This window comes from Homo sapiens, chromosome 5, assembly GCF_000001405.40.
Source record: "Homo sapiens chromosome 5, GRCh38.p14 Primary Assembly".
In the NCBI taxonomy this organism is placed as follows: domain Eukaryota; kingdom Metazoa; phylum Chordata; class Mammalia; order Primates; family Hominidae; genus Homo; species Homo sapiens.
The window spans coordinates 79,367,624-79,393,662 of NC_000005.10; the positions used below are offsets into that span (position 1 = coordinate 79,367,624).

Here is a 26,039-nt window from a genome sequence, read left to right on the forward strand (position 1 = left end):
ACATAAAGTGGCAACTCCCAAATATTTATCTCCAGCTCATAGTTATCTCTCGAGCTCCATCTAGACCCACAGTTCCACTTGGATATTCGATAGGCATGTAAAATGCAAAACAGAACTCACAAAACTGAGTTTCTGCCCTTCTGAATTCACTCTCTGGGGAAATGAGATTATTCATCTGGTTGTCCACGAGATCTAGAAGCATCCTGCATTCCTCTTTTCCTTGCCATCTAAATTAGTCAAGAAGTCCTACCGGTTCTACCACCTATAGACTCTGAATCCATTCCCACCGCTACTGCCATAATGCAGCCTCTCAACAGGGATTGTGATTTACATAGCTGCCTGATTTATAAACCATATTATTTTTTATAATTTTTTTTTCTTTTGAGATGAAGTCTCACTGTGCCGCCCAGGCTGGAGTGCGGTGGCATGATCTTGGCTCACTGCAACCTCTGCCTCCCGGGCTCAAGCGATCCTCCTGCTTCGACCTCCCGAGTAGCTGGGATTACAGGGGCCCACTACCATGCCCAGCTAATTTTTGTATTTTTCAGTAGAGGCAGGGTTTCACCATGTTGGCCAGGCTGGCCTCAACTCCTGACCTCAAGTGATCTGCCCACCTCGGCCTCCCAAAGTGCTGCAATTACAGGCGTGAGCCACTGTGCCCGGCCTATTTGTTATAATTTTTAATTTTTGTAGGTACATAATAGCTATATAAAATATATTTCTGATTACATCATTTCTTTGCAAAAAAAAAAAAATCCTCAATATTTCTCCGTTACGTTCAGTGTGAAATGGAAATCTTTTAAAATGACTTACAAAGTCCTTCCTGCTCTGGCCTTTGGCTACTTCTCCATCCCCATCATTTGCCACGTCCTTCCCTAACATCCTATGCTTCGGGCTGTATCGATCCATTCTAACTTTCTGTATGTCCCAATATTTTCTTCACTCTTCTGAGCCTTTGCACAGCACACTCTCTGCAACTGTCTTTTACCTCTTCTTCAACTAGCCAGCTCCTGCTCCTCCACCAAGCCTCAGGCAGATGTCACCTCCTCTGGGAAAGAGCCAAGCTCTCTTCCCTCTGGACTGCCCTGTGCTAGTGTTCTCCTTTGTCATATAACTTGTGCACTGCAAAGTAACTGTGTTCTGCAATGAACTGCGAGCTTCTCTCTATAGTTTGTATTCCAAAATGGGGCCTGCGACAAAGTACGTGCTTAATAAATGTTTTAGAAAAGAAGTGATAAAAGGCATGACTCAGAGGCCAATTAATTACATACAGGTGTATTAACCAGACACTAACCCCAAGACTGATTTCCTAGTGAGCTACCACATTGTTCTACAACTCTTTTAGGTTTACCTAATTCAAACCCAATCCTTTTGCAGTTCCTCAAAAAGTTAAACATAGAATTCTCATAAAATCCAGCAATTCTACTCCTAGGTAAATATCCACAAAAATGCTAGAAAGCAAGAACTCAGATAAATTGTACACAAATGTTCATAACAGCAACAGTCACAAGAACCAAACAGGGGAATCGACCCAAGTATCCATCAACAGATGAATTAATAAAGTATCATATATCCACACAATGGAAAATTATTCAGCCTTGAAAAGTAATGAAATTCTGATATATGCCACAACATGGATCTTGAAAGTATTATGCTAAGTGAAACAAGCCAGACACAAACAAAACAAATATTATATGATTCCACTTATATGAGGTACCTTGAATAGGCCAATTTATAAAGGGATAAAGTAGAACAGAGGTTGCCACAGGCTGCAGGGGCAGGTGGGGAGGGTGGAGAGGGTAGAAGGAATAGGGAGCTATTATTAAATGGGTACAGAGTTTCTATTTGGGATGATGAAAAGTTCTGGAAAGGGATACGTGGTGATGGTTACACAACGTTGTGAATGTGCTTAATGTTGCTGAATCATACACTTAAAAAACTGTGAAAACGGCAAATTTTGTTATGTACATTTTATTACAATAAGAAAGGTTAACAACTCAACACTTGAGGCTGGGCACAGTGGCTCACCCCTGTAATCCCAGTACTTTGGGAGGCTGAGGTGGGTGGATCACCTGAGGTCAAGAGTTCAAGACCAGCCTGGCTAACATGGTGAAACCCCATCTCTACTAAAAATGCAAAAATTAGCCAGGTGTGGTGGCGTGCGCCTGTAATCCCAGCTACTCAGGAGGCTGGGACATGAGAATCGCTTGGACTTTGGTAGCAGAGGTTGCAGCGAGCTGAGATTGTGCCACTGCACTCCAGCCTGGGCAACAAGGGCAAAACTCAGACCAAAAAAAAAACAAAACAAAAAAAACCGACCCCAAAAAGCAAAACAAAACAAAACAAAAAAACCGAAGTGTCTTCACCCTGATCTTTGTTACCATCTCTCTGAAGATCCTAGAGCCATGAGTTATTTCTGCAACTGATCTAATGGTTTGATCAACCTAGAAAGACATAAAGTTCTGGGCCGGGCGTGGTGGCTCACACCTGTAATTCTAGCACTTTGGGAGGTCAAGGCGGGCAGATCACGACGTCAGGAGATCGAGACCGTCCTGGCTAACACGGTGAAACCCCGTCTCTACTAAAAATACAAAAAGTTAGCCAGGCGTGGTGGCAGGTGCCTGTAGTCCCAGCTACTCAGGAGGCTGAGGCAGGAGAATGGTGTGAACCTGGGAGGCGGAGCTTGCAGTGAGCCGAGATCACGCCACTGCACTCCAGCCTGGGGGACAGAGCGAGACTCTTTCTCAAAAAAAAAAAAAAAAAAGGAAGACATTAAGTTCTGGCACAACCAGAATTGACCACAAAGTCACCCAGTACTGACAGCAAAACCCATATCTTGTTGAACTACTATATAGTGTCAGGGGATGAGTTTTATAGGTTTACAACTCATTTCATTAAAAACTTAAGAGATGAGCTGCTTTCCCAAGGCCGAATAGTTTGCTGCTTAAATTTTATAGATTAAAATTATGCATATAAAGAATTACTTACTTTCGTTGGATTATTGGAAGTTTGTAAGTTTTAAAAAAAATTGAGTCCAAAACATATTGCATAAATGACACCTGCAAAGAAAGTAAAATTTATAACTTCATAAGAAGTACTGTAAACACCAAAGACTGAAGACGTTCAGAAGACCAGATGTGAAATATTTAGTTAACAAGTGCCCTAACAGAGATACTCTAGAGAAGCAAGACAGAAAAGCCAAAAAAACTGTACCACAAATATGAGCAAGACCTCCACCTTTTCACCAGTGTGCTGGATAACCAGACCAATAACCATGGGAACAGCAGGTAGAATCATTTGAGCCTCTTCCCTTCCTTATCCCCCTCCCCTCCCACAGGAATACCCCTGGAAAGGCCACTATCCATAGAAATAAAATATCAATTAGTACAGTGCCTATCACATAGCAGATGTTTAATACATACTTCTTGATGTTCCATTTCAAACTGAAGTCAGAGAAAACATTGACTTCAACTACATCTGCTTTCTAGTCATGCTTCCTGAGATAGTCATTCCTTATAAATTAAGGTAGAATAATCAAGTAAGTCATATCCACAATTCATATAGATGTGATTGACAATATATCTGTGTATATAGTAAAGTAGTTATAATACATAGGTAACAAGAAAAATCATGAATGTTGATAAACACAAAAGATTTTTCTGTGCTACAGAAATGACCTTATATTTGCATTTATTAGGCACCCATTATCTTCACTTCTTGTTGTTAGAAGAAAACAGAGTAATACCTCTATCCCTGGGTATATCTGATACGAAAACAACCGACAAAAGTAGGTCAGGAGTTCAAGAGCAGCCTACGCAACATGGTGAAACCCCGACTCTAATTAAAATACAAAAATTGGCCAGGCGTGGTGGCAGGTGCCTGTAGTCCCAGCTACTCAGGAGGCTGAGGCAGAATTGCTTGAACCTGGGAGGCAGAGGTTGCAGTGAGCCAAGACTGCACCACTGCATTCCAACCTGGGCAATAGAGTGAGTGAGACTCCATCTCAAAAAAAAAAAAAAAAAAAAAGTAGGTCAGAATCCCACAAAATGGTGAGTTCTGAATGTCAGGTGTCTTATATTGGGTTACAAATCCTGACAAGACAAGTGACAGGGTTTTCTGAAAGTCTCTGAAACTCAGTGCCATCTCGATCTGTTTGGTTAAAAGCAGCAGCAAGGTAGGAAATAGTTGGTCTGTGTCTCTGGCTATCCTGATATGCCTTAGATAAAAACTGAAGGCAGCATGTTCCTGCTCTTTTTTCTGCATCTGCTTTCACAAAAAATATCCTCTTCCCACCCAGATATAATCTGGGTGGCTTCTGGAATATGTCCTTTAACCTACACCTGATCTTAGCCAAAAGGCCGAGAAGCAGTGTGTCCTTTAACCTAAAAGAGAGGTCCTTACAGAGATCAGAGACTTGACAAGAAGTCGACTAGGAGTTTGTGGCCTTCTGTCTATTCTAGTCCTGATGCAATTTCTCCCTAGTTCAAGTTTTTGGTAAAAATCACTTAAAATTTTTTTTTTTTTCTATTTAGTGTACTAAGCAGAAACCACCAGGCAGTGTAGTGCTGACTGAGTTTTTGAGTTTTCTGGGATATGATTTTTAGCTATTTTACTATGTAATATATAAACAAAAAATGCTAAGTACCCACTACTTTAATTCAGTAACTTTGCTTGTATTTGCGTGACATCTATATATCAGTTTCTCATGAAGAAAAACTATCATAAAAATTTTAAGGTAAAATTTAACACGAATATTAGGAAAAAACACACTTTCGCAATTTGGAGTAAGGTGAATGACACATCCTTTCCTTTTCTAGTAATTTCTAAATTTAGAAATTGAGAAATTTTCTAACAGTGTCAATCTCAACTACTTCTTACCTGAAAGGTTTCTTAAGATTTTGTATAAATTAATTTACTTCATGCTATACATTTAGGAGGCAAAAATTCAATGAAAATCATTTCATGACTTCAAGCACAGAATTTCAGGATGTCAAAATCATTTGATATCAAATAAATGCAATGGTTAAAACAACAATAAGAATCCACTGCCATCAAACAAACTTTCCCCGACCTGCCTCCCATTCCAGTACTGACAAAATCAGGACCACAAGGAGATAAATGACCGAAGTGTATATGCTTCAGTTAAATAAAAACATGGGAGACTGTAGCCCACATGTTAAAGAATACATTTAATTTTAACAGGGCAAATAAACTAGTTTTTAAAGGTAGTGGTGGTGTTGGCTTAATTTTGAGTGTTCCTTTTATTTCCACCTGAAAAAAAAAGTGAGCTTTTCCTCTAACTGCTTCCCAACAGTTCAATGACAGCAGAACATCAAATCTATGATGGTGCTGGAGATCTTCTATAGAGACAAGGAGAGATGCAACTTCGTGAGCATGTTTTAGTCTGCAGAAAGAAAGTGGAAAAGAGAAAGAGAGAGAGAGGAGAACAAAAACTAATTTTCCAGGCAGGGGAATACTTATAAAACCTTTTATGTCAAAGTTAGGATTTCACAACATAACACACTAATGCAAAATCCAGTAGCACCTGAAAGATTTAAGTAAATGCTGTCATCATTTAAATGCTTTTAAATATCTGTAAAAGACTGGAGGAAAAAAAGATAAAGTACATTCTCCAGAGAACAAATGTATTTCAAAATAAAAACTGTATTTTTGCTTTTCTTTTTTTTTTTCAATTTTTGTTTTTGTACAAGATTCAATAGTTATCACATATTAACTTATACACAATGGGATCAACCTCCTCCTCCATGTCGCTTCAAGTCCACATGTTCAGGCTATAGTCCCCAACATTATTTTCTGAGAAATATATTACCACAGTTTGATTTAAATATAGATACAGTATATAATACTTGTCTCTGGGAAAAATCAAATTTTAATATGCAAATGTTTATATAATACAGAAATGGAAAAAACTACAGTAGGCACACAACCTAATTATGACTTGTGGATGATGATTTCTACATACTCTCCTACTGTAAATGAATAGTTAAAAGTCTTAAGAAGATTTTATTTATATGTGCACTTGTGTCCACCTTATCCCATATACTGTACATGTCTATTGACAATCTGGGAATTTAAAGGTGCAGCCCTCAAGAGATTGTTAAATCACTAAAAAAGGAAACAATTAGGCTCTATTGGACAAGAAAAACACTCACAAAATTTCCAATTTTAAATTTCATTATCAGTAGGAAAGTATTAAAAATAATTTTCTGTATATACATATGGGTATATGTATATATTGAATCACACATATGTCCCACATTATCAATACAATTCAAATGGAGACATTTTGGTGAGTTTTTTCATTAAATGATCACTATGTCAAAATTTAAAAATATTTTATTACATCATTAAAATAATTCACTTGCCATTTCAACAGCTTACACTGTTTTTTAAATTTTTTTAACTCTTCATACTAAACTCCCTGATCCCTAGTGTTAAATCTCCTATTTAAATTAAAACTTGGTGCTCTTTGTTACTCAGAAACTGATGGATAAAAACACATTTACTTCAAAATTCCATCAATCAAATACATTTTGTTACCTGATTTATCAGAGAAATATCTCAGCTCTGAGCATGTGTATCTAAATTATTCTCCCTATAATATATAGGTGAGGAAAATATCCTAAAATAGATGGAGGTAACGTACATGATGTTACAGCACATATAATACATGATTGTTATAAATTTTTCAGAGACACCTGAAAACTCACTTAAGAAACTAACTTCAGAAACAAACCATTTATTTTTCACTCTAATGTAAATTAATATGTATGTATTTACGTACATACACATACATAAAAAACAAAATTGTCTAGTATTGAGTAGCTGTTTATGAGTGAAAAAATGGTTACAAATTGGTTAATTAGCTTAATTTTGTACTTAACAATTCGATCATTTTGGGGTACAAACAAGAAGTCAGTGCATTTATAGACTCCATAGAGTCAGTTACTCAAGCATACACTTTAAAAAAGAACCCTCCTCAACATCACAGGCATTGTACAGCAAGAATATATGTACTCTGATGCAATTCCTACTTTATAAGCAGACTAGACAGCACTTGGCTTACTTTTAAAATAGCTTCGTAAAAGAAATATATCATATAAAGAAATGCATGTTTGCTAAAAGTCTTTTAAAATTACATCAAAACAACATTAAAACCTGTTCACTGAGAAGAGCCTATTGAATTTAATTCCTGTTTTGAAATACCTAGTTAACAATTCAGAATATTGCCTTGTGAGGTTTGAATCAAGATGTGATTGATGTGTAGAGCCAGATAGAGTACATGACTCCATCTCTATCTGCCACGATCACAATTTAGATAGAGTCCTCTGATCAGCTGTTTGATGTAAATGGACCCCCTTTAAAATAGCTATACACCTTAAAATTATCTATAATAAACAGTTCCCCAATAACCATTATTATTCGTAAATTGAAATGCATTGATCATTCAGAAAAGATTTCTTGCAAAATATATAAATAAATGTAACTGCATATTCTGTAAATATACTTAACATTGCTAGACCAGCCTGTCAATGACGGGCTGCTGTATTTCAGTACTGTGTGTCAAATTTATTAGAAACTTAAAAAGAAAAATTTCTGAGGGACTCAGCTGCCTTCGTTAGTTGGCTTTAAAATGTGTAATAAAATGGGAGACAATATCTTCTCATAAATACATGGAATCAATATGGAAAAGTAAACTATACAACAGACAAGATTAGAGAACACCAGAGTGTACCAGAGTAGTCACCAGAGTGAAATATCTTCCAGCACAAAAAAGGGAAGAACTCTATACACCCAGTTATAGTATATTTCAATTAAAGATACAGCTCTCTCTCACTCCTGGCAAGAATTAATTGGTAATGGCACTGCTTCTCAGCAGTGCAAAAATATCCTGAGAAATTATTCAGATTACAACAAAAGACAGGCTTTCATCACTAAGTTTTTGCACAAAACACAGCTCTAGATATCGTAAATAAATTAATTTAAAAAGCAGATAATCTTCACTGTGTTGAACACAAAAAGGGGATGTGACCTAGACATTGTTAATTCTCCCATTGGCTAATATCAGGAAAAAAGATTGCATTAAGTGTCTATTTATAACTTTCTAGTTAACTATGGCCAATAATATACATGGAGGTAATTTGTAGTTCAAGTTTTTCATCTTTTTTCCCCAACTAGCTACAAGCTGGATTCTAAAATTTACAGTGAAATATACAATTCCAATTTCAAAAGATCCTCCTCCTGGAGGAGTGATATTCAATTTTTTTTTTTTTTTTTTTGTGCAATCTTGATGCAGAGCCTAAACAGTCCTATGAAGAGAGACAGTGTATCTTTTAATTAATTGGCACTGAAATTTCACTTTCCTTAGCTGCATTCTAGTAGCTTGGCCAAGTTATCTCGTAATTCTGTTAGTTCAAATATCTTTCCATCCAGAATTTCTAAGAGTGTCTTCAGGTTATTGCGAAAAGCTTCTTGTTCATTCTGACTTTTCTCCAGACGTTGCTCTAAGTCAGACAGTTGTCCCTCCAGGTCTTTGTTCCGAATTTCTACTTCCTTCAGAAACAAAAGTGTAACATGTATATATGTCAATTCATCACTTAGAAAACAATACAACTCTCTGTTATTACCAATATTGCGGTAATCAATGCAGTTTGACTGTCAGGATGAGCTGCAGAATCTTAATTTAGCACAATTTAAGGAGATTTTAGACTTGGCCATCCCAGAGAGCAATACGATTTTAATGACTGGCTTGGTTATCAATCTATCTAACCACTCAACGAAAATCTACTGACTCATTACTTTGTGCCAGGCAACACTCTAGGTACTTCAAATACCAAGACAGGCTTGAAGACCTATTTATGGATCACTTAGATCTCATTTTTATTGCTGTCCACCTATTTCTCCTAATGCATAATTATTAGCAATCACAGGTGAAAGCAGGCAGAGAAAGAAAAAGAAATTAACTTTTTCTGTTTACTGGCAACTCTAGAGAAAGATTTAGACAAGAAAGTAACTCTCTAAAATGTGATTTTAGGATCCTCTGAATATGTTATTCTTTGCTTTGCCTCAATATCAAATAAATGTATATGTAGAGAGTATCACTCAATTGCTAGAAACTGTAGTGAAGATACATAATAACTGTACATATTAGAGAATTATAAGTTAACAGTTCCAATACATTGCAAACCAAGGGAAAAAAATGACAAAAGGAAATCAAATGTTCATGACAACAAAAAAAACACTAAATGATTTGTTTTTGACAGAATAAACTCTGGCACACTTAAAAATTATTTAGCAGTTATTACTGCTTTTGTTTTTTTGTTGTTGTTTCTTTTCTTTGAGACACAGTCTCACTCTGTCCCCCAGGATGGAGTGCAATGGTGCAATCTTGGCTCACTGCAACCTCCGCCTCCCAGGTTCAAGCCATTCTCCTGCCTCAGCCTCCCAAGTAGCTGGGATTACAGGCACACGCCACCACACCTGGCTAATTTTTATATTTTTAGTAGAGACGGGGTTTCACCATGTTGGCCAGGCCAGTCTTGAACTCTTGACCTCCAGTGATCCACCCGCCTCGGCCTCCAAATGTGCTAGGATTACAGGCGTGAGCCACCCCGCCTGGCCTATTACTGCTTTTAAAATTGTCTCTAAATGTGACAAATATAATAAAGTGAGTCTAAAAAAATAAAATGACATAAATCAAGCTAATGATTTCATTTTGGTTAAAAAAATCAGATTGAGAAAAATGGGAGAAAGCCAACTATTACACTTTAAATAAGCAATTCAGATAAGCAATGAATTGAAAGTTGTTATATATCCGTTCTGGAAAGCTCACTTTTACATTTGAGAGAAACTAAGTGACTGACACAATTTACATTAAGATATATAAACTATATGGGACAACGAAAATATCTTGATGTTAGTTACACAACATGATAGCCTCAGAAAATGAGATGTTTCAAAATGTTAATACATCCTTTAAATGTTAATCTCTAAAGGAATTCTATCAAGTCTAAAGGACAGTGGAAATTTTAAAAAAATTAGATCACTGAAAGACAATCTGGTAAATGTTAAATGAAAAGAACAGAATATAAAGTAGCTCACTGAAACTGGCAAAAATTCGTATGCATGAGGACAAACACTAGGAATTAATGTAGAAATAGGAAATAAAAAATAGTTCTGGTGTTGAAATTACAGACACTTTTTTCCAAAAATTTATTCTTCTCTCAAGTTGGATAAAGAATGAAAAAAAAATTAAGAACTAAATTTTTTTCACAATGTAAAAATTAAACTTTCAAGAAAAATAATTAGGGCAAGGCTCACGCCTTTAATCCCAGAACTCTGGGAGGCTGAATCACCTGAGGTCAGGAGGTCGAGACCAGCCTGGCCAACATGGCGAATCCCTTCGTCTCTACTAAAAATATAAAAATTAGCCAGGCGTGGTGGCAGGCACCTGTAATCTCAGCTACTCGGGAGACTGAGGCAGGAGAATGACTTGAACCGGGAGGCAGAGGTTGTGGTGAGCCGAAATTACGTTACTGCACTCCAGCCGCCTGGGGTGACAGAGTAAGACTCTGTCTCAAAAAAAAAAAAAAAAAAAGGAAATTGGCTCAAATACATTTAAAAAGTAATAACTCTGGGTTATCTTTGTCAGTGGTTTGACAAGGCTCAAGGATGCTACAGATGAGTTGCAAGAGCCTGGGAAAATATAAGAAAGGAATCAAGCAGCTATAATGATTTTTAAAGGAAGAATTTAAGGAATCGAATCTCAAACTATTGACTGTTAGATGTTAGCCAGGTATGTTTCCAATCTCTTCACTTTGGTTAATCTGCAAGGTCAAGATAAGTAAATTGAGAGGAGAATCTCAAACTAATAAAATATTTATAAATTCAGAAGCCAAACACATGGAGGTTTTAACTATGAGGGAGGACACAGATCCTGAGATCAAATGTAAAAATTCCACTCATGACTGCACAGCATGCTCTCTTGCCTACTTAAACAATAAGCTTAAGGGTACAATGTTTCCAACTATAAAAATAGACCAAATGTCATTCACTAGCAGACACCCACTTCACCAGGCACCACCCAGTTTGCCCTCTAAAGCCCTCCCAAAAATGAAAGGTTCCCTTGTTTCCTTGCCAATCAATGCAATAGTCAAACATTTTCAATGGAAGCAAGCAAAACACAAAATTCCCTCAGCTAATAAAATTGTGTTATTCTCTCTAGAATGAATCCCCTACTCTAAGCACCTCTCTGTTTGCAGGAATTTTACTAGTTAGATAACAAAAAGGACCTAATACACTGCTTGATGGTGCTAGTCTATTTTTAGGCAAAGAGAATATGTTCCTAGAGCAAGAATAGACAACTTAGAGCACAGGGGCCAAGAGGTAACAGAAGCCATGGTGAGTGGCACTTCTTAGGTGTCTACCTTTTGTCCATATATATATATATATATATATATATATATATATAAAATATATAAATATTTATTTATATATAAAAATTATTTATATAAATATATTTATATATTATATATATTTTTATATATCTATAATATATATTATATATATTTTTATATATCTATAATATATATTATATATTATATATATCTATTATATATATTATATATTATATATATCTATTATATATATTAAAATTGTCTGTAATATAAATATATAAATATTTATATATATTTATATATTTTATATATTATATAAATATTTATATATATTTATATATTTTATATATTATATAAATATTTATATATTTATATATTTTATATATTATATATTTATTATATATTTATATAATATATAATATATATTTTATATATAAATATATAAATATATAAATATTTATATACATTTATATTACAGACAGAGAATTTTATATACATATATTCTGACAACAATAACTTCAGCACCTTTTGTCCATATTTTCCAACCAACCTTTCCCTTCTTGCCTTTCTATTTGCTATTTTCTTGTACAGAAGGGGTCTCACTATGTTGCCTAGGCTGGTCTCAAACTCCTGGGCTCAAGTGATCGTCCTGCCGCGGCCTCCCAAAGTGCTGGGACTACAGACGTGAGCCACCATGCCCGGCCTTGCCTTTCATTCTCCTTCCAAACTCATTCTTCTGCTCATTATCATTTTGGCTCTGTTATTTCCCTCTTTTCCTTTACTAATGTAAGGCACACACCAGGGGCAACTAGAGAGAGGCATTGTTCAGCCCTGATAAAGCACAGTAGACCAGAATCATCAACTCCCTCCTGAGTGCTTTAAAAGGTGGGAGAGGATTCAAGATGGCTGACTAGAAGCAATTTGTACTTGCCTCCTCTACTAAGAAGAACCGAAATAGTGACTAATCATACTTCAAATGGATCATCCAACAGAGGACACTGGAATTAAACAGAAAAAGTGACAAGAAATACCTAAAGCAAGGAAGAAGGAAGTCGGCTTGGCCAGGATTGGTGGGGAGCTGAGATTCCCCAATATGGATAAAGGGTAAGAGAACCTCAGTGGTCCATATTTCCACCATGAATCCTGCAATCTGAGTCATGGGAAAATCTCTTGGCTCTCACAGGCACTGGAAACTAACACTGCTGGGAGACTGTGTGACAGCACTGCTCTTGGGAGAGCACTAGCGCTGGGTGCCACACAACCCGAGACCTAAGCTGCAGCAAGGCCCCATTTTAGAGCCCCACCTCCAATAAACTGCAGTGTCCTAGAGCCCAACAGTGCTGTAGCTAAGGCTCAAGAGAAACATGGGCTGTTACACCCAGTGCTTAGGTGCAAATGACTGCAGGCTACTGCACCCAGGCTGAGTGCCATCGAGGCACAGGCTACCACCGTCAGGGCTGAGGCATGAGTGGCGTGCACATTTCCCACACATCAGCCAAGGCTGCCACCAGTGAAGGTGGCATTGTCCTTCTGAGCAGCAGAACAACAATGTGAGCATTCCTGGGGATTGCCCCGCCCCTACCTACCATGGCTGGCACCTGCACATACCATCAGGGGGCCTGAAAACTAGCCTAATTGGCCTGGCTTTGATCCCCTCCATGTCACAGCATATAATCGGGGGGTAGGGGGAGTGAAGGGATTGCCCAGCCCAGTCCACCAATGTTGGCACCTAAACACTCCTCCCAGGGGAATAAGGTTGGGCTTACCTTCCTGGCTGCTACCACCACAGCTGGCACCTACCTGCACATACCACCTGCAGGCCTGGAGAATGGCCTATCCAGCCCTTTGCCGCCACTGCCAACACCAGCATGCACTGCACGGGACACAGAGGATTGTCCCACCACTGCCATCGTCCATACTACACCAGTTGCCCAGGGGTCGGAGAACCCACCCACCCTTGCACTGCTGCCACTACTGGCCTCCAAGACACCAGGAGACCCCAAAATCAGCTTGCCTGGAACTGCTAACACTGGTGCAAGCAAACACAGCCCTGGAGCCTAAGGACAGGCATACTTGGCCCACTGGTACCACCATCAGGGTCCAAAGACTGGCCCACCTGGTGTCCCAGTCCCCAGCAAAACTTCACCACAGCCTCCACGAACTGCACCCTAAGCCACTAAGAAAATCACAGGTACTATTGATGCTATTTACAGCCAAAGAAATCATACAGAGACCATGCTACTGAACACACTCGGAATCAAAGCCAAAGTGCCCTGTGCATCCAATAGCGTAGATACATCTACAGGAAAGAATCTTCCCCTATGAAAGCAAATTTTAAAAGTTGGCAGAAGTGACTGTTAAACCAGATGTGTAGATATCAGTGTAAGAATACATAAAACATGAGAACGCAATGAAATGTAACACCTTCCAAGGAAAAGAATAATTCTCCAGCAATACATCCCAATCAAAACGAAATTCATAAAGTCCCCCCAAAAGAATTCAAATTATTGATTCTAAAGAAGCTTAGTGAGATACAAGAGAATTGTAAAAAACGCACAAAGAGGCCAGGTGCAGTGGCTCACGCCTGTAATCCCAGAACTTTGGGAGGCTCAGGCAGGCAGATTGCTTGAGGTTAGGAGTTTGAGACCAGCCTGGTCAACATGGTGAAACCTGTCTCTCCTAAAAATACAAAAATTTAGCTGGCCATGGTGGTATGCACCTGTAATCCCAGCTACTCTGAAGGCTGAGGCAGGAGAATCACATGAACCTCGGAGGTGGAGGTTGCAGTAAGCCAAGATCATGCCACTGCGCTCCAGCCTGGGCCACAAAGCAAGACTCCATCTCCAAAAAAAAAAAAGTACAAAGAAATCTGAAAAATAATTCAGGCTATGAATGAGAAATTTACCAAAGAGATATACACTATAAAAAAGAATCAAACAGAAATTCTGGATATGAAGAATTCATTGAATGAAATAAAAAATACATTCAAAAGATTCAACAATAGGCCAGATCAAACAGAAAAAATAATTTCAGAACTCAAAGACAAGTCTTTTGAAATAATATAGACAAAAATAAAGAAAAAGTAATAAAAAGGAATAAGCAAAGCCTCTGTGACATACGGGACACCATAAAGTGGCCATAAAATATGCAAATTATCAGGGTTCCCGGAGGTGAAGAGAGAGCAAAAGGGTAGAAAACCTATTTAATGAAATACCAGATGAAAACACCCCAAATCTAGCAAGATTTTAGACATCCAGATACAGGAAGCTCTGAGATCCCCAAACAGATAAAATGAAAGAAGGTCTTCTCCATGGCACATTATAGTCAAATTGTCTAAAGACAAAATTCTAAAAAGAACAAGAGATAAGCATCTTGTCACCTAAAAAGGACCCCCTTCAGACCAACAGGGCATTTCTCAGCAGAAACCTCACAGGCCAGGAAAGAATGGGGTGATATATTCATAGTGTTGAAAGGAAAAACAAAAAACAAAACTGCTATCCAAGCATACTACATCCAGCAAAATTATCCTTTGTAAATGAAGGAGAAATAAAGTCTTTCCCAGAAAAGCAAAAGCTGAAAGAATTCATCACCACTATACCAGCCCTACAAGAAATGCTCAAGGGAGATCTAAGTCTGGAAATGAAAGGATGACATTTTCCATCCTGAGAGCACATGAAAGTATAAAATATTGTTAAACACAAATAAAAAAGAGAAAGAATTCAAATGGTATCACTACACCAAACTACCAAATCACAATGACGAACAATAGGAGAAAAAGGAAGGAACAAAGAACAAAACAACCAGAAAGCAATTAGCAATGTGACAGAACAAAACCTCAAATATCAATAGTAACCTAGAATGAAAATGGATTACATTCTCCACTTAAAAGATATAGACTGGCTGAATGGATTACAGTTATGACCAACTGTATGCTGCTTACAAGAAACATACTTTACTTGTAAAAAGGCTTACAGATCAAAAGTAAATGTATGGAAAAAGATATTCCACGAAAATGGAAACCAAAAGTGCACAGGAGTAGCTATACCTATATCAGATAAAATATACCTTAATCCAAAAACAGTAGAAAACATGAAGTCACTATATAATGATAGAGAGATCAATCCAGCAAGAGGATATATACGTTCCCAACACTGGCACACCTAAATTCATAAAGTAAATATTACTAGATTGAAAGACAGATAGATTCCAATACAATAATTTGTATGGTACTTCAACACCCCACTCTCAGCATTAGACAGATCATCTAGACAGAAAATCAACAAAGAATCATTGGATTTAAACTGGACCTTGGACAGACTGTACTTAACAGACATTTACAGAACATCTTTTTTTTTTTTTTTTTGAGACAGACTCTAGCTCTGTCACCTAGACTAGAGTGCAGTGGTGCGATCTCAGCTCACTGCAACCTCTGCCTCCCGGGTTCAAGCGATTTTCCTGCCTCAGCCTCCTGAGTAGCTGGGGCTACAGGTGCCCACCACCATGCCCGGCTCATTTTTGTATTTTTAGTAGAGACAGAGTTTCACCATGTTGGCCAGGCTGGTCTCGAACTCCTGACCTTGTGATCTGCCCACCTTGGCCTCTCAAAGTGCTGGGATTACAGGCATGAGCCACCTCGCCTGGCCTACAGAACATCTTATACAACAATTCTTCTCATTACCACGTGGAACATTCTCAAAGACAGATCATATGTTAAGCCACAAAACAAGTCTCAACAAATTTTTAAAAATCGAAATCGTATTAATTATCTTCTCAGACCACAATGGAATAAAACCAGAAATCAATACCAAGAAAAACTGTGGAAACTATACAAATATATGAAAATTAAACTACATGCTCCTGAGCAACCATTGGGTCAATGAGGAAATTAAGATGAAAATTAAAAAATATTTTGAAACAAAACAGAAATACAACATACCAAAACCCATGTGACACAGCAAAAGTAAAAGCAGTACTAAGAGGCAAGTTTATAGCAATAAATGCCGACATCAAAAAAGTAGAAAGATTTCAAATAGCAATCTAACAATGTGCCTCAAGAAACTAGAAAAGCAAAAAAAAAAAAACCACCAAACCTCAAAATAGCAGAAGGAAATAATAAAGATCAGAGGAGAACAAAACAAAGACCAAAAAATAAAACAAAAAAATAAAGGATCAATGAAACAAAAATTTGGTTCTTTGAAAAGATAAACAAAATTGATAAATCACTAGCTAGACCAAGAAGAGGAAAAACCCAAATAAACAAAATCACAAATGGAAAAGGAAGCATTACGACTCACACTACAGAAATACAAAAGATTACGAGAGACTATTATGAGGTATACATGAACAAACTGGAAAACCTGGAGGATATGGATGAATTCCTGGAAACTTACAACTTACCAAGATTTGAATCAGAAATAAAAAACGTGAACAGACCAATAATGAGTAGCAAGACTGAATCAGTAGTAAGAAGTCTCCCAACAAAGAAAAATACAAGGCCAGAGGGCTTCACTGCCAAATTCTACAAAACAATAAATAACTAATACCAATCCTCTTCAAACTATTCCATAAAAATTGAAGAGGAGGGAACTTTTCCTAACTTATTCTATGAGGCCAGCATTACTCTGATACCAAAAACCAGACAAAGATACAACAAAAAAAGAAAACAATAGGCCAATATCCCTGAAAAACACAGATGTAAAAATCCTCAACAAAATACCAGCCAACTGAATTCAACAGTGTATCAAAAAGATGATACACCATAATCAAATGGGATTTATACCAAGGAAACAAGGATGGTTTAACACAGAGAAATTAATAAATGATACATCCCATCAACAGAATGAAGGAAAAAAATATGATCATCAATAGATGCAGAAAAAACATTTGATAAAATTCAACATCGCTTCATGATAAAAATGCTCAAAAAACTAGGCACAGAAGGAACATGTTTCAAGATAATAAAAGCCTAAGTGACAAACCCACAACTAACATCATAGTGAATGAGGAAAAGCTTTTCCCTCAGAGATAGGGTGAGACCCCTACCTCTCACCATATATGAAAATCAATTCAAGATGGATTAAAGACTTAAATGTAATACCTAAAACTATAAAATTACTAGAAGAAAACTTTAAAAAAAACACTTCTGGACATTGGTGTAGGCAAAGACTTCATGTCTATGACTTCAAAAACACAGACAACTAAAACAAAAATAGACAAATGGGACTATATTAAACTAAAAAGCTTCTGCACAGCAAAGGAAACAACAAAGAGACAACCTGTTGAATGGGAGAAACTACTTGCAAACTATTCATCTGACAAGGGACTAATATCCAGAATATACAAGAAATGCAAACAACTCAACAAAAAACCACAAATAACTCCACTAAAAAATGGGCAAAGGACATAAATAGAGAGTTCTCAAAAGAAGACATATTATGGCTAACAGGTATATTAAAAAATGCTCAATATCACTAATCATCAAGGAAATACAAATCAAAACCAAATAAGATATCATCTTATGGCCAGGTGCGATGGCTCATGCCTATGGTCCTAGCACTGTGGGAGACTGAGGCAGGTGGATCACCTAAGGTCAAAAGTTCCAGACCAGCCTGACCAACATGGTGTAAACCCCATCTCTACTAAAAATATAAAAATTAGCTAGGCATGTTGGTGGGCATCTGTAATCCCAGCTACTCAGGAAGTTGAGGAGGGAGAATGGCATCAACCTGGGAAGCGGAGCTTGCAGTGAGCCGAGATCGCACCACTGCACTCTAGCCTGGGTGACAGAGCAAGACTCTGTCTCAAAAAAAAAAAAAAAAAAAAAAAAAGCTATCATCTTACTGCAATTACAATGGCTATTATCATTACTTTCAGATAACATCAGAATTGAATGGATAGAATGACTATCATTAAAAAGACAAAAAAGAACAGATGCTGGTGAGGATATAGCGAAAAGGGCACTCTTTTACACAATGATTCATGTAAATTAATACAACTGCTAAAAACTATTTGAGATTTTTTTTTTAAAACTAAAAATAAAAAACTAACATACAATCATGTAATCCCAATACTGGATATATGTCCAAGGGGAAATAAATCAGTACATCAAAGGGATACCCACACTGGGATGTTTATCACAGCACTATTCACAATACTAAAGACATGGAATCAACCTAAGTGTCCATTAGCAGATAAATGGATAAAGAAAATGTGGTATATATACAATGGAATATTATTCAGCCTTAAAAAGGAGTAAAATCATGTCATTTGGTGCAACATGGATAGAACTGGAGGTCATCATGTTAAGTGAACTAAGCCAGGCACAGAAAGACAAATACTGAATCTTCTCACTGATATGTGGGACCTGAAGTACTTGATCTCATGGACATAGAGTGTAGAATGATGGTTACCAGAAGCTGGGAAAGGTGTGATGGTGGGAGGAGAAAATGAAAAAAGATCGGTGAATGGCTATATATTTACAGTTAGATAGAAGAAGTAAGTTCTAATGTTTGATAGCAGACTAGGGTTCCTATAGTTAGCAACAATATATTGTGTATTTCAAAGTAGTTATAAGAGAGGGATTGAAATATTACCAACACACAGATAAGTACTCAAGGAGCTGAATACCTCGAACACCCTGACTTGATCATTACACAGTCTACACATGTAAAAATTATCACATGTATCCCATAAATACGTAAAATATTATCTATCAATAAAAGGAAACAAAGGCAAAAACAAAGTATAAAATCCTACTGGGCAGGAGGTTATGCTATTTGTTAAAGAGCCTAAAATACTACAATGATTAAAAGAAAATTAAATAACAATTATGAATACCACCACTGGCACCAGATCAGCTTAATTTCCTTCCTTCCTCCCTCCCTCCTCCCCTCCCTTCCTTCCTTCCTTTCCTTTCTTCCTTCCCTTCCCTTCTTCCTTCCCTCCCTCTCTGAACCTCCCCCTCCCCCTTCCCCCTCTTCCTTCTTTCTCCCTCCCTCCCTCTCCTTCCTTCCTTCCTCTTTCCTTTCTTTCTCTATCTCTCTCTCTCTCTCTCTCTCTCTTTCTTTCACAAGGTCTCATTCTATCACCCAGACGTACACGTTTCTTTCTTTCACAAGGTCTCATTCTGTCACCCAGACGTGCAGTGGTGCAATCATGGCTCCCTGCAGCCTCAACCTTCTGGGCTCACATGATCTTCCTGCCTCAGCTCCTGAGTAGCTAGGACTATAGGTGCACATCACCATGCCCAGCTAATTTTTAAAATATTTTTGTGGAGATAGGGTCCTACTATGTTGCCCAGGCTAGTTGCAAACTCCTAGTCTCAAGCAATCCTTCTGCTTCAGCCTCCCAAAGTACTGGGATTACAGTACTAAACCCAGCTTTAATTTTCTATAAATTTAAATCTTGCATCATTTAATCTAAATAAAAGCTGTAGAAAAATTGACATCTGATATACTTCTTAAGCTCTTATGAATAAGATGTATTATTGCCCTATAAGACTGTTACCTTCTATATAATAGGAACTATAAATAATCAAGACAAGTAGAATAATTTAATAGAAAAATGGGTAAAACATACACACATTTTGAAGCAGTTATTCAACAATTACATTTTCTATGTACTAGGCATTGGGGATAAAGTAGTAAATAAAACAAAGATGGTTCTTGTTTTAATAGAACATACATTCTATAAGGAAGACTCTGGCTATAAAGAGGTAAACAGAATAGATTTCTGGGCAGCCAAGGTAATAGTGACTGTGTACACTGCAATCACAGTCCTCTATCCTCCCCAAACTATATAAACTATACAAACTATACAAAGGCATGCAAATTCCATGACTTCGACATAACTAGAAGATACAGAACAATACAAACATCAAATTGCCTTTAATTAGAAAATATAAGCACCAATTTCCAGCAGAGGTATTTCTCAAGCTCTCACTCTAACCCTTTGCAAAAGGGAAGGCAGAGTTGTGGGGGCAATGCCCAGAAGAGTAGAGAACAAAAGGGCTCAGACTAAACTACGGTAACCCCAAGAAGGAGAAAACCACTACCAGTGTGAATGCCAGAATACTGAAAAAAAAGTTCTAGAAAACCAGAGCAGACTATAAGAAAGGAACTTAACAGTATAAACGAAACTTGAGGAGGTAGTCTTAGAAAGGCTGAAGACAGTTCCAAAAAGCAGAAGATAAAAGGAAGAGAAAGGAATCTTGCGGGGTAAAGGGAAAAATAAGCAAGAAAGGAAAATTTAAGACCAAAGAAAAACTATTAAAGGACATACAATCTTTCTTCTGATTGTCTCTGCAAAAGAGGGTGTTTTTGAACTAACAATTTATAAACCACCCCAAACTGCTATTCTATCCACAAAATGCAAATGTGTAAGCAATCTTCATCTACACAAACTATTACAAAAGGAAATAGAAAATAGAAAATACTAAAAACACTTGAGTAGATGAATCTTCCAAAAACCAACTATGAATCAGAAGAAAACTCTAACTCAATATTCCACTCTGAACTAAATATTCTCAAATAAGCATTTAAAAACAAGTTTGAATTATATATTGAAAAACTTAGAATAGAAATAGGTAAACAAAACTCCAAAGAACAGAAAGGTTGATTGAACTCATGAGAGAAACAGAAGAAAAAGGCATAATCTATCAGAAATGAAAACCGAGTTATAAGGACCCAAGGAAAAATAGATTTGAATAAAACTATTTTTAATTCAATTATTACTTATTATTTTAAATAATCCTAGAGAATGAAAGTGAGATAAAGTAAAGAAAACAGAAAGAGGTTGCAAAAAACAAAATCAAATTACACAAGATTGGAGCTCCTGAAGAAGAAAAATAACACATTAGAACAGAACTAGTATTTAAAACTTTTATGCAAGAAAACTTCCTGGAAATAAAGAAAAACCTGGATATACAAATTAAAAAGGCCCACTGTGTACCTGGGAAAACACCCTCAACAATGTATTTCGTGAAATATTCTAGTATATCATTTAAACTTTATTTAAAAAATAAAGGAAAAATCCTCAGGGCACACAAGCAAAATGAGTCCAAAACTTATAAGGCAAGAGAATCAGACTGGAATCAGATTTCTCAAAAGAAATATACAAAACAAGGCAATAATGGAGTGTCATTTTCAAGTAACTCAATGAAAGAAAATTATGAACCAGGGATTTTATATTAAATATCCTGCCAAGCTCTCGCCCCAATACTGAATACATGAGAAAAAAAAAAGTTTAAATAAGCAAGATCTCAGAAAGTATGTATCCATGAGCTCTTTTGCAACCATCCACAAGAAGATAAGCTTTATCCAACCAAGAGATCACTGTGGAAACTTCAGAAAAAGGACTTAATGGTGAGTGCTATGATTTGAATGTGTCCCCTCCAAAATCCAAGTGTTGAAATGTAGTGGCCAATATGATGCTATTAAGAAGTGGAGCCTTTAAGAGACGATTAGGTCATGAGGGCTCCTCTCCTCATGAATGGGAGTAAGGTCCTTATAAAAGAGGTTTCCCCTCCAGTGTTGGTGGCTTGCTCTTCCATCTTCCCCGATGTGAGGAGGCCGCATTCATTCCCTCTGGAGGATGCAGCAACAAGGCAACATCTTGGAAGGGGAAAGCAGTCCCACAACCAAACCCGCCCGTACCTTGACCTCGGCTTTCCAGCTGCCAGAAGTGTGAGAACTTTCTGTTCTTTATAAATTACCCAGATTGTAGTTTTCTATTACAGCAGCACAAAAGGACTAAGACAGGAAACATTTAATATATTTAATGTATAAAGACTAAAACAAATGTAGATGATAGTTAAAAAATAATCTGTTTAGTATTCTGACGAGGTAGAAATAATGCAACCAAAAAACAGGGAGAGAAAGAGAAAAATGAGAGCATAACAAGCACATTATTATTAAGTGTGTTAATAATTCAGAGTCAAAGGATATCATTAAAAACTAATAAACCAGGCCAGGCACGGTGGCTCATGCCTGTAATCCTGGCACTTTGGGAGGCCAAGGTGGGAGGATTGCTTGGGCCCAGGAGTTCAAGACCAGCCTAGGCACTAGAGTGAAACCCCACTTCTACAAAAAATTAAAAAATTAGCCAGGCTTGGTGGCACACACATGTAGTCCCAGCTCCTCGGGAGGCTGAGTAGGGAGAAATTCTTGAGCCCAGGAGGTCGAGACTGTAGGAATCTGTGATTGTGCCACTGGCCTCCAGCCTGGGTGACAGAGTGAGACTCTGTCTCAAAAACAAAAAACAAACAAACAAACAAAAACCCCCAAAAAACAAACCAGACAGTATACGTTTAAATACGAACACAGGTAACTAGGAGCATTTTAAAGGAGTGGAAGTTCAAAGGTAACCACTACAACAAAACTAAGACCATTTTAAATATCAAGAGATATTTAAAAATCAAGAGATAGTTAAAAAGAGCAAAGAACACATCATATAGGAAAATTATTAATACAATGCACACACAGAAATGATAACAATGAATTGAGACCAAACATAAAAATCATATCAATAAACATGAATGAGTCATCTACTAGAAAATATTTTCAGTTGGGTCACAAAGCACTATCCAAGTATATGAACACAAGACACACAAGCAGCATTGATAAAAACTGATAAAATATTATGTCACCGAAAAAGCAGCAGTAAATTACGTAACATAGAAATTATACAAATAAAACACTGTGATCCCAATGCAATAGAACTATAAATTAATAACTAAATCAAAAGATTAAAAAAGACCCTTCCACCAGGAAATTAAGGGACTTTTTATACCTTTCATACAGCTGTTGTATGAAAAGGAAATAAAGTCAAAATTACAGAATTTCCAGAAATAATAATGAAAACATTAAATATCAGAATCTATGGGATATACTTAAAGCAATGATCAGAGGAAGACCTACAGCCTGAAACACATATATAAATAAAAGTGAAAGAATGAAAAAAAGGAATTAAATCCCCTTTCAAAATGCTAAAAAAATAAAAAACAAAGCACAAGGCAGGAATAAATAAGATAAAAACAGAAATTCATCAGGTAAATTCATAAGTGGCACTTACTAGTTAATCAAAATTTTGTGGGTTTTTTTTTTGTTTTTTTTTTTTTTGAGATAGGTCTTGTTCTGTCTCCAGTGCTAAAGTGCCATGGCACAATCACGGCTCACCGCAACCTCAACCTCCTGGGCTCAAACGTTCTTCCCACCTCAGCCTCCCATGTAGCTGGGACCACAGGCATGTGCCACCGCATCCGGCTAATTTTTTGTAGAGACAAGGTCTCACCATGTTGTCCAGTCTGGTCTCAAACTGCTGGGCCCAAGCAATCTTCCCGCCGTGGTCTCCCAAAGTGCTGGAATTACAGGTGTGAACCACCGCGCCTGGCCAAAATCTTTTTTTTTTTATGTATGAAAAAAAAAGGCCAGGTGCAGTGGCTCATGCCTGTAATCCCAGCACTTTGGGAGGCCGAGGTGGGCAGATCACGAAGTCAGGAGATCGAGACCATCCTGGCTAACACGGTGAAACTCCGTCTCTGCTAAAAAAATGCAAAAAATTAGCCGGGCGTGGTGGCATGTGCCTGTAGTCCCAGCTACTCGGGAGGCTGAGGCAGAATAGCTTGAACCTGGGAGGCGGAGGTTACAGTGAGCTGAGATCGCGCCACTGCATTCCAGCCTGGGCAACAGAGTGAGACTCTGTCTCAAAAAAAAAAAAGAAAAGAAAAAGAAACTTCACAAAGTAGACACATCACTACTAACTTTAGGTAATCAAAAAAGACAATGAGAAAGAACAAGTATATCAAATAAGAAGTATAAGACTTCCCATTGAATACAGTCATGCACAGCATGACAATGCATGACAATGTTTTGATCAACCATGAACAGCATATGCAACAGTGGTCCCATAAGATTATAAGGGAGCTGAAAAACTCCTATCACCCAGCAGCTGCCATATCATCACAGCACAATGCCGTACTCATGTGTTTGTGGTGATGCCGATATAAATAAATCTACCGTGCTGTCAGCTGTATAAATGCATAGCACATACAATTATGTATAGTACATAATACTTAATAAAAATAAATGGCCATGTCACTGGTTTATATATTTATTATACTATACTATTTATTACTATTCAAGTTATTTTAGAGTGTACTCCTTCTACTTATTTAAAAAAACATTAATTATCTGACAGCCCCAGGCAGGTCCTTCAGGGGGTATTCCAGAAGAAGGCATTGTTATCATAGGAGATGACAGCTCCATGCCTGTTATTGCCCTTGAAGACCTTCTAGTGGGACAAGATGTGGAGGTAGAAAACAGTGATATTGATGATCCCAACCTTGTGTAGGCATCAGCTAATATGTGTGTTTGTGTCTTCGTTTTTTAAAAGAAGTTTAAAAAGTTTTAAAAACATTTTTTAATAGGAAGAAAGGTTACAGACTAAGGATATAAAGAAAATAGTTTTCTACAGCTGAATACATGTTTATGTTTGCAGCTATTACAAAAAAGTAAAAAGTTAAAAAAATTTTAAATGTTTATGAAGTTAAAATGTTACAGTAAGCTAAGGCTAATTTATTATTGAAGAAATAACATTTTAAAAAATAAATGTAGTGTAGTCTAAGTGCAGTGTTGATAAAGTCTACAGCAGTGTATGGTAATATCTTAGGTCTTCAAATTCACTCACCACTCACTCACTGACCCACCCAGAGCAACTTCCAGTCCTACAGTTCCATTCATGATAAGTGTCCTATTCAAGTGTACAATTTTTACCTTTTCTACTGTATTTTTACTGTACCTTTTCTATCGTTTCTACTGTATTTTTACTCTACCTTTTCTGTGTTTAGATGTGCTTAGATACAAATACATGAATACTTACCACTGTCTTACGAGGGAGGGAGGGAAAAGAAGGGAAAGGGAGAGAGAGAGAGAGAGAGAGAGAGAGAGAGAGAAGAGAGCCATCCAGAATAAAACAAAGCAAATATAGCCAAAATGACATTTGGGGAATGTAAGTAAAGGGTATATAAAAAATTTCTGTATTATTCTTGCAACTTTTCTGTAAGACTGAAATTATTTCAAAATAAAAAGTTTAACTAAAGAACTTATTTATGTAACCAAACACTGCCTGTTCCCAAAAACCTATTGAAATAAAAATAAATAGCTTAAAAACAAAATAGAAATAAAAAACAAGATCATTTCAGCTAGTGATAAGTACTAAAAGGAAAATAAAAAATGGTAATACTACAAAAAATACCTGGGATGGGGTGTGGGGACTGTAGCATAGTCCTTAAATTGGGAAGTCAGAGAAATTAACATCTGAACTAAGACCTAAACTAAAAATAGAAGCCAGCCATCTGAAGATTTGGGCAAAGAATTCCAGGCAAAGATATTCCACATGCTCTAAGGTGAAAATGCACTCGTGACTTCAAGATACAGGTAAAGACTAAATGCATGTGAAAAATTGTTCAATGTTATTCATAATTTAAAAATTAACTAAATAGTTGAGTCACTTCATTTCTTAAGAGATGGCAAAGAACGGGTCCAGGGGGTACCAATATCCAGTGGGTACCCTGCTTTTCCAGATGTCAATTTCCCAGCATAAGAAATTTTAAAACATTGACACCAA

General features: G+C 37.0%; 1 protein-coding gene across 4 annotated transcripts in view, besides 2 other annotated features; it reads right to left on the reverse strand.

Moving 5' to 3' along the window:
- Positions 1-5,012: 5,012 nt before the first annotated feature.
- The window catches only part of HOMER1 (homer scaffold protein 1), a 141,499-nt gene continuing 120,472 nt past the window's right edge, over positions 5,013-26,039 (reverse strand). For 2 of the 4 annotated variants that reach the window (NM_004272.5, XM_047417894.1), the window contains exon 9: positions 5,013-8,574. In NM_004272.5, coding sequence (NP_004263.1) covers positions 8,386-8,574 — 189 coding nt within the window. In that variant the 3' untranslated portion in view covers positions 5,013-8,385. The remainder of the gene's footprint in view (positions 8,575-26,039) is intronic. The other 2 variants (NM_001277077.1, NM_001277078.1) reach the window with 1 other exon arrangement.
- Positions 13,077-13,576: an enhancer, noted in NCBI's record as "H3K4me1 hESC enhancer chr5:78676523-78677022 (GRCh37/hg19 assembly coordinates)". NCBI's record gives its function as "activates a minimal SCP1, AML or CMV promoter by ChIP-STARR-seq in primed H9 embryonic stem cells {active_cell/tissue: H9 hESC(primed)}" and the evidence as "EXISTENCE:reporter gene assay evidence [ECO:0000049][PMID:30033119]".
- Positions 13,227-13,433: a silencer, noted in NCBI's record as "fragment chr5:78676673-78676879 (GRCh37/hg19 assembly coordinates)". NCBI's record gives its function as "represses an EF-1alpha promoter that drives an FKBP-Casp9 reporter gene in an ReSE screen in phorbol 12-myristate 13-acetate-treated (for megakaryocytic differentiation) K562 erythroleukemia cells {active_cell/tissue: K562(+PMA)}" and the evidence as "EXISTENCE:reporter gene assay evidence [ECO:0000049][PMID:32094911]".